The 8,337-nt window shown below is 58.9% G+C and overlaps 1 annotated feature.

The window, feature by feature from the left end:
* Positions 1,385 to 1,554: an enhancer, noted in NCBI's record as "experimental_21169 CRE fragment used in MPRA reporter constructs". NCBI's record gives its function as "activates a minimal promoter by MPRAs in K562 erythroleukemia cells, with activity observed for both the introgressed and non-introgressed 11:3218340 variant alleles {active_cell/tissue: K562}" and the evidence as "EXISTENCE:reporter gene assay evidence [ECO:0000049][PMID:34662402]".

The raw sequence follows: 8,337 nt of genomic DNA, 5'->3' as shown, positions 1-8,337 counted from the left end.
CAAGGTACTGGAGGCCAGGTAGTAAAAAGTCCCTGTGCTCCGGGGCCGTGGCCCACAGCAACATGCTCCATAAATGCAGGGATCAGGGGCATCTGTTGAGGGCGTGTCTGCTCCAGGCTCTGCCCCCAGGAGCAGCCACCCCCAGGGGGTGGGATCCACTGGGCTCTGCAGTGGTCAGTCCGGGGCCTGAGCCTCAAACCCCAGCAGCTAGGAGTCAGAGGACCCAGCCACGATGGCAGGACACCCTGGAGGCTGGCAGAGGCGGCACCCAGACCTCCCCCAAGAAGCTTCCCAGCCCATACAGAAAGGGGACACCAGTTCTGCTCACCTCCCCATCTCCCCAGAGGACCCCTGGGCTGGGCCCACATCCTCCCAGGGGATGCTGTCTGCTGGTCCCAGGAGGCTGAACCACTGGGCACAGTTCTTCAGCATCTCCTTTGCCTGGGGTTCCCACCTGGCAGGAGAGGAGGAGGTGAGGAAAGGCATAGCAATGGGGCTGAGCGGATGCCGGGCCCTCCAGCACTTCTCCTGTGGCCAAGGAAGGGGAGGGCGAGCTGCAGGGGATGCAAGACAGCCTAGTGGCCCTGAGGGAGAAGGCAGAAGGCAGGCAGGCCTCCCTGGGTACCCCCTGCCAGCTTCCCCAAGGCATCCCCAGATGCTGCCCTGCCTCAGTGGGTCTCTCCTGCAAGGGACGTGCAGAGCTGGGATTGCCTTTAGTTGAAGCCACTGGCTGCTGAGGTCAAGTCCAGACTCTTCTCCTGCTTGGAACCCCATGCTGATGGGCAGAGGTGGGTCTGGGAGCTGGCAGGAGCCAGAGGAAGGTGGTGACTATGGGGGGACTTTGAGGGTTGCAACTGGGCTAGTGCCGGCCAGGGAGGAGCAGGGCTTATGGGGGGAGGATTTAGAAGAGACCTGAGCAGCCCCAAACCACACATCCAGCCTGGGCTCCTGCCCAAGGGGCCCCCACAGGCCCCACGGGGATCCCTGAGCTGGGACAACCCAATGGAATACTCAAACTCATGCCTCTTCCCTCAGCCCTGGGGGGTCCTCCCCCAAGACACTGCAGCACCTCCAGCCAGACGCTGGCTGCCTCGTGGCCACCTGACACACACTCCGTGGGTTGGACAAGACTGCACCCACCTTGCCCACTTGCCTCCTGCTTACACCCCCAGGGTGAGGCTGGGGCGGGGAAAGGACACCCAGACTCTGCCAGCCCCTCGTGCCTGCACGGCACCAGCCCAGGGTGACCCTGGGACTTGGGACACAACCTGGGCCCTCCTGGGCCTTCATTTCCAGCTGGCAAACATTTCGTCTTGGCTGGCGGCTGCATCAGGAGCCTGCATTTCAGGACGACTGTCCTTGGCTGGCCTATAGTTCATCCTTGTCACATGAGTGCCCATCTCCCCAGACCCCTGCTCACTCCAGGATCCCACAGCCCCCCAGCTCATGTCCTGACACTTCCCCTACCGCTCCTTGGGCCTCCCAAGCTCCAGCATCTTCTCAGCTCCATCTCCAGGCCTGTGGGGGCCCTGCCCTGCCATCCAGGGACTGGCTGGGCTGGAACCTCCCTGTGCCACTCCAGGTGGTGAGCAAAGCTGCCACTGCTGTCGGGAACCAGCAGGGAGGGGCAGCTGAGCGCGGTCTCCAGGCCGGCTTAACCTTGCCCCTGAGCTGCCTGAGCTCAGCCCGAGCTGCCTGTGGCAGCCCCAGCAGGTGGGACAGTCTCTGCTTTACTCACCACTGGGCAGGGTTCCCAGGGCACACAGTGCCTGGTCCCAGGCAGCCTCGTAGTCACACCTGGGCACTGAGCGACCACGGGGCTGCTGCCCACTAGCCCACCTGGAGAGCAGATGGGGCTCCCAGGACCCCACGCAGGCAGAGGAAAGCCATCCTACTGGCCAGGCCCACACAGGTCAGCCTGTCCTGGGCCTGAGCTCTGACAGTCCCCCACACCCAGGGACAGTGGGAGCCACGGCTCTGCAGGGCTTGGAGCCCTCCCCCTGCCCGGGCCCAGGGACCCGCCCCGTCACTGGCACACTGCAGCCTGCAGTCATCACAGGCCTCATCTGAGCCGTCCTTGTCAGGGCTGTGAGGGAGAAGCAAGGTCGTGCAGGCCTCCTGGCACAGACGGGCCCGTCCAGCTGCTCATATGCCAGCTCACCCACCTGGCTGCTGTGCCTTCACTGCGGGGGTGGTAGGGAGGGCTTGGGCCCCTCCAGAGAGGAGGAGAGGGGGTCCCCACACAGAGCCGCAGAGCCAGAGCCAGATCCCTTGGCCCGGCCCCCTTCTCTCCTGCATGTGCGATCCCCTCCCACTTTCTCTTGTGCAGACTTCGTTTGGCCCAGTCACAGGCCCTGTGGGCAAAAGCCAGAGTTACGTCAGTGACCCACACCCACCTGCTCTCTCTCCCTGTCCTGGCTCACACATCCTGAGACCCTCATCACAGCCTTGGTGCTTCCACCTTCAATCAGTCCATATAGCCCGGCCGTGCACTAGTGACCCGGGGTGGTCCTGACCAAGTCCATCGCCTGGATGATCCAGGCAACAGGAGTTTACTGTCTCACAGCTCCAGAAGTCTGAGGTCAAGGTGTGGGCAAGGCCAGTTCCTACCGAGACTGTGAGGCAGAATTGGTTCCTAGCCTTGGGGACAGCTCATGGGGCCCTAGCCAGAGGCCACAGGCAGGGGAGCTGCCACCAGAAGGAGGCCTTCGAGCCCCAGGCTGCCTCTGACTGCCCAGGGTTGGCCCCAGGGCCACCTAGGTGGGGCCCCAAGCCCATCCCACTTGCTAGGGAGGAACTAAGGTCTGCAGCAAAGACCTGCAACCTGCCTCCTCTGCTCCCCGCTCAATCAGAGTCCCGGGGCAGGTCCAGGGCCCAAGGCAGAAGTGTCCTGGGCCGACTGCTTCCTGCAGGTGAGCTGAGCCGCAGGGGCTACACGAGGTGGCTCGTCTGCCACACCCAGCCCTGCACGGTGACAGGGAGACTTTAGGCAGCTTACAATAGTCCCGGAAGGCTGGGGCCGTGGGAGAAGTCTCCTAGCCAGCCAGGCTTAGGCCTCGGTGGTGCCAGGGAGCCTGCCGGCCTTCCAGCCTGCTCTTGTCTCAGTCGAGGTGCGATGAGTTTTTCCCACTTCCCCATTTTTCCCAGAGCAGCTTCCTCTCTTCCCGGCAGGGGTCAGTGTGGGAGGGTTTGGCCAAGGCCATTGCTGGGAAGAGCAGGTGGGAGAAGCTGCACGTGAGCTGCACAAGACTGCAGCCAGAAGCCCACCCTGTCCATAATGAGTGACCCCGTGGGCCTGGACCCTTCCCAGCACTGGTACTCACTGGTCCCCACCACTGGGATTAGTGGAGCATTAATGGAGTGCCAGCTGCATGCTGGATATGGGGCCCTGATGTTTGTGGGCGCTCTCACATTCAGTCCTACAAAACCTTGCTGAGAAGGTGCTATGAAGATCTCCATTTTACAGATGGGAAGGCTGAGGCCCAGGAAGTTTAAATGGCCTGCTGCGCTGTCTGCTAGGCTGAGGTTTTGGAGAGACCCCCGATGGGGTGTCCCTATCCTTCTCCTTCCCAGCCCTCAGCAGCTGTTCTTCAGGGGAGGAGACGATCACCACGTGCTCCTTTTGGGTCAAGGGGATGAAGGTTTTGTTTCTCAGTAAGAATGTAAAAGCCTCTCAAAGACTCAAGATAAGCGAGTGGCAATCACTCACACCCCAGCGTGAATTAGGGAACGCTGCCTGAGTAGTTCACAGCAGACGACCAGGCAGAGCAGTGGGCATCTTCCTGGATTTCGAGGGGGTCTCTATGTAGGGGGTGCACCCTGCAAGATAGCCTAAGAGGCAGCAGGAGCAGAGCCGGCCCCAAAGGAGAAGGAACATCCACTCTCCCCCACCCACATCCTGGGACCAGGGGTGCGCGGCAGGCCTGCAGAGACAGTTTCCCGGTTCCTAAGACACCCTCTGTCCTCAGCATCCCCCACACCCCTGTCTCAGAAGGGGCCTGGTCCTGGGGCCAACATGGAAGGAGGGAAGGGGGGTAGGGAGGGCAGGGGAGGTGATGCAGGAAGGCCACATCCCTCCCCAGAGGCCCTGGACCCGGGGCTGGGGTGGAGCTGCCCCAGTGGGAGGGTCCCCTTCCTGCTGCACCTCCCTTTGATCAGGAAGGTGGAGGCCTAAATTCAGCAGGGGATGAGGGTTCCAGGAAGGATCTCATCCATCAAGGACCTCTACAGTTCTACTCTGGCCAGAAAACGCCGGAAAATGCCAGAAAGAGCTGGAAAGAGCAAAGAGACCAAGTGGGAAAAGGTGGAGGAGGCCACAGGCCTGGAGATGCCCTCCCTTCTGGTTGGCCCGGCCAAGCCCCTCTGCCCATGCAGTGTTGGGGGACGTGTCCCTGGAGAAGAGAGAAGTGGGGGCTGTGTTCCCAGACCACCATTGGTCCCTCAGTCCAGGCCTCCTATCTCACCCCAAACACACCCTCCAGCCACTTCCTCCTCTCTGGGATGTGAGTCGCATCTAGGTTCCCGGGTAGAGCTCCAGGCTGAAAATCATTAAAGCAAGGGGAAGGGAGACTCCCTGAGATTCCAGGGCAGCGACTTCCTGGGGTGGCAGACACAGGCGGGTCCCCTTACGCTGCCTCTGCCCTCAAATCCCCCCTCATGCCTGGAGCTGAAGTCCCAGTGGGTACACACTCGCAGCATTTTGTGCCAGGTGACTTATTCACACCGTAGAGAGGTTTCTGTGCATGCGTCGGGGGCTGGGGAGCCGGTGTGCCCACATCCCCTGGACTTTCTGCTTCTGAGAAAGGACGGTGGCCGATTCCAGCCGCCTGTGGCCCTGGAGGGGCTGAGCCGCCCCCCACTCCTGCTCCTTATATCGCACAGCCCTTCAGAAGTTGGAGGGATCTTCCCTTGACCCCTGTCCCCTCTGAGTGTCGGGGGCTCAGTTCCCTGGGGCCTGCTGAGCCCTGACTCAGAAAATGAGCTGAGTCGTCCATGGCCTCCCTGTCCAGTTCGGGGGTTTCTGGCAACCCCAAGGGAACCCATTCCTTCCAGGTTTCACCCTGACTACGCTTCCACACCACTGGGGAGCTGGTAGAACCCCTGAGGCCTGGACCCTGCAAGTGCCACCACCAATAAAGTAGGAATCCCAGACCTGGGAGGGAGACCCTCTCTGGGTGCCTCCTGGGAGCCTGCGGCTGGCGTTGTGCAGGGAAGGGGGCTGCTAGGCTGCTAGATTCAAGGGGCTCTATGGAGAGGAGGTGGTGCTCACAGAAGCGCCAGAGCCTGAATGACCGGGCTTGGAGGGAGGAGGGGGCAGCAGTGGCCCCAGGAGAGGCTGTCTGGGGAGCAGTGGGGTCACCCCACCGAGGCCCACCCTGCCCTCCTCTCTGCCAGGGCAGACCTGCCCACACCCACTCGCTTCAGCTCTGGCTGCTGAGCCACAGGCCTTAGCCGGGTTCCTGTGGGAGGGAAGAGACCAGGGGGAGGCAGGGGCTGGGAGGAGAAGGGAGGTGCTCTCGGGAAAGGACTCTGCCACCTGAAACTCACAAGTCTCCACCCGCATGCTCCCTACATGTATGGATGATCACCGGAGCCAGCCCCACCTGCAGTGAATGCGTTCCTGTTTACACATTGCACGTGGGTGCTCCACCAAGCAAAAGCACCCCAGCTGGGAGAAAAGGAGGATAACAAGTCCCAAGAACAAGGACATCGGGGTCCCTTCTGACCATGTCACCCCCCCAAGTCCTCTGGTCTCAGCTGGGCATGGAGTCCTGCTAAGCAACCCCACCTTCTTCAGACCCTGGCAGACAAACCCAGACTGGGGTCTATCTCCCAGGGCTTATGGCCACAGTCACCCCCACTTCCCACCCCGAGGCTTCAGGGAGGTGAGCTGAACTAGGAGGAGATCTGGGAGGGCTTCCAGGAGGAGGTGAGGACAGATCCCAGAGCTGAAGGAGGAGTAGGCTTACAAGCAGTAGAGAAGGAGCAGATGGGTTTCTGTGGAGGCCGCCAGAAACACACCTGGCTGGCGGTGGTGCCTGTCCACTGTTTTATGCTTTCTCCCTGAATATCCTTGGCTTTCGAGCCATCACGTCCTCATGTGTAGCTCCCACATCCACATCCCTCTGCTTCATTGTAGAAACCACCGATTCCCAAGTAGCTGCCCCCATTTATGAGGCCCGTTCCCCTCCTCTGTTAGAGCCACTCCTGCTGAGGACCCTTCCGGAACCTTCCATTCTCAGCTGGGCTGCCCTCTGGAGCTACATGTATTAGGCCCTTCTTGCATTGCTATAAAGAAATGCCTGAGACTGGGTAATTTATAAAAAGAAGAGATTGAATTGGCTGACGGTTCTGCAGGCTATACATGAAGCATGCTGCCAGCATCTGCTCGGCTTCTGGGGAGGCCTCAGGAAACTTACAATCGTGGCGGAAGGCAAAGGGGCAGCCAGCGCTGTATGTGGCCGGAGAAGAAGAAAGGTGGCGGGGGGGCAGTGCTGCACACTTTTTAACAACGGGGTCAGGGGAGAACTCACTATCCCAAGAACAGCACCGAAGTGGGGAATCCACCCCCGTGATCCAATCACCTTCCACCAGGCTTCACCTCCAGCATTGGGGATTACAATTCTACATGAGATTTGGGTGGGGACACAGATGCAGACCACATCACTACGGTTTTTTGGTTGAATAAGCTAAGACTCAAGTGAACCTTTGTTGAAAATGCTAATTCCCTGGTCCCCTCCAGACACTGGGGAGTCTCCACTGGGACCCTGGCGTCTGCCTTCACTGGCTCTGTGCTGTGGGCCCTTGGATCCTTGTCACCGGAACCCCCGTTAGAGCATATCTGGCACCAGATCACACCCTCTGCCATCTCACAAGTATGTCCTGAGGGCTACTGACCAAAGGCACCACCCCGCCACTAAGTACGTTTTTTTTTCGAGACGGCGTCTCCTCTGTCACCCAGGCTGGAGTGCAGTGGTGCTATCTCAGCTCACTGCACCCTCTGCCTCCCAGGTTCAAGCAACTATCCTGCCTCAGCCTCCCGAGTAGCTGGGACTACAGGCGCACGCCACCAAGCCTGGCTAAAATTTTTTGTATTTTTAGTAGAGACGGGGTTTTCACCGTGTTAGCCACGATGGTCTCGATCTCCTGACTTTGTGATCCGCCCACCTCAGCCTCCCAAAGTGCTGGGATTACAGGCGTGAGCCACCGCGCCCGGCCTGAGTACAAATATTTTATATTTTAATAGAGCCCAGGCCTCTTCACGCTTTCCCTAGGGCAGGAATTGGCCTTGGCCATCCTGTGAAAATTCACCAAAGCAACACTACTGTGAATATGGAGCTGAAAACAGGGGAGGAGACCCCAAACCTGCGAGTTCATCCAGCCCCGCCCTCTCTCTATCTTTTCACCACTACAGTCACAGTTGGTGACCACTGATGTGGCGGGGGAGCTAATCTTCTGTGGGATTTGCCTGTGATTTTATAAAATCATCATCTACTCAGAAAGTTGCATTTTGCTACAAATTTCCCCCTACTTAATGCTACCATCTACTTCTAGGTCAGCTGCATCTTACAAACATCCCAATCTGACGGCTTTAAAGTCTATGAATCCATTTTCAGCCAAGTTTATTTTCACTCATAAAAAAATCTTCAAAGGAGAAACTTCGTGCTGCGGACTGAATGTGGCCCCAAAGCTCATGTGTTGGAAGCATAATCCCCAGTGCGACAGTGCTGGGAGTCGGGGCCTCTTGAGAGGTGTTTAGCTCCTGGGCTCTGCCCCATGAATAGGTTAATGCCACTGCAAAGGGTTTGTCCCCCTTCTGCCCTCCCCTCCCTTCCACCCCGTGAGGACACAGCACTCCTGCACCTCAGAAGTCACAGCAGCAAGGCACCATTTTGGAAGCAAAGATGGGGGCCCTCACCAGACAGCAAACCTGCTGGAGCCTTCATCTTGGACATCCCAGCCTCCAGAACTGCAAGAAAATACATTTCTGTCTATAAATTACCCAGTCTCAGATATTCTGTTAGAGCAGCACAAAATGGACTAAAACACTCCCCCTATACACCTTCCTAATCGAATCTTAGAGTTGGAAGGATGCAGAAGTCACCCCCTGGCTTCCCACCCAACTGTGGTCTCCCTGAGTGGATGTGGCCCAGAGATGCCTTGGTTCACCCACACAGACTCCAAGAGCCGACGGTGGAATCTTTCCCACTGAGCCTGGTTGTAATCTCTGAATCCTCAAGAGAACACTCCAGGCCCAGTTCTGCTCCACGGAGCCCTCAAAACGGGGCAGCAAGCTCTCCATTTCCTTCATATTCCCCCACAAGACCCGATGAAGTG

Source organism: Homo sapiens, chromosome 11, assembly GCF_000001405.40.
Source record: "Homo sapiens chromosome 11, GRCh38.p14 Primary Assembly".
Taxonomy (NCBI): Eukaryota; Metazoa; Chordata; class Mammalia; order Primates; family Hominidae; genus Homo; species Homo sapiens.
This window is presented reverse-complemented; position numbering and strand designations above follow the sequence as displayed.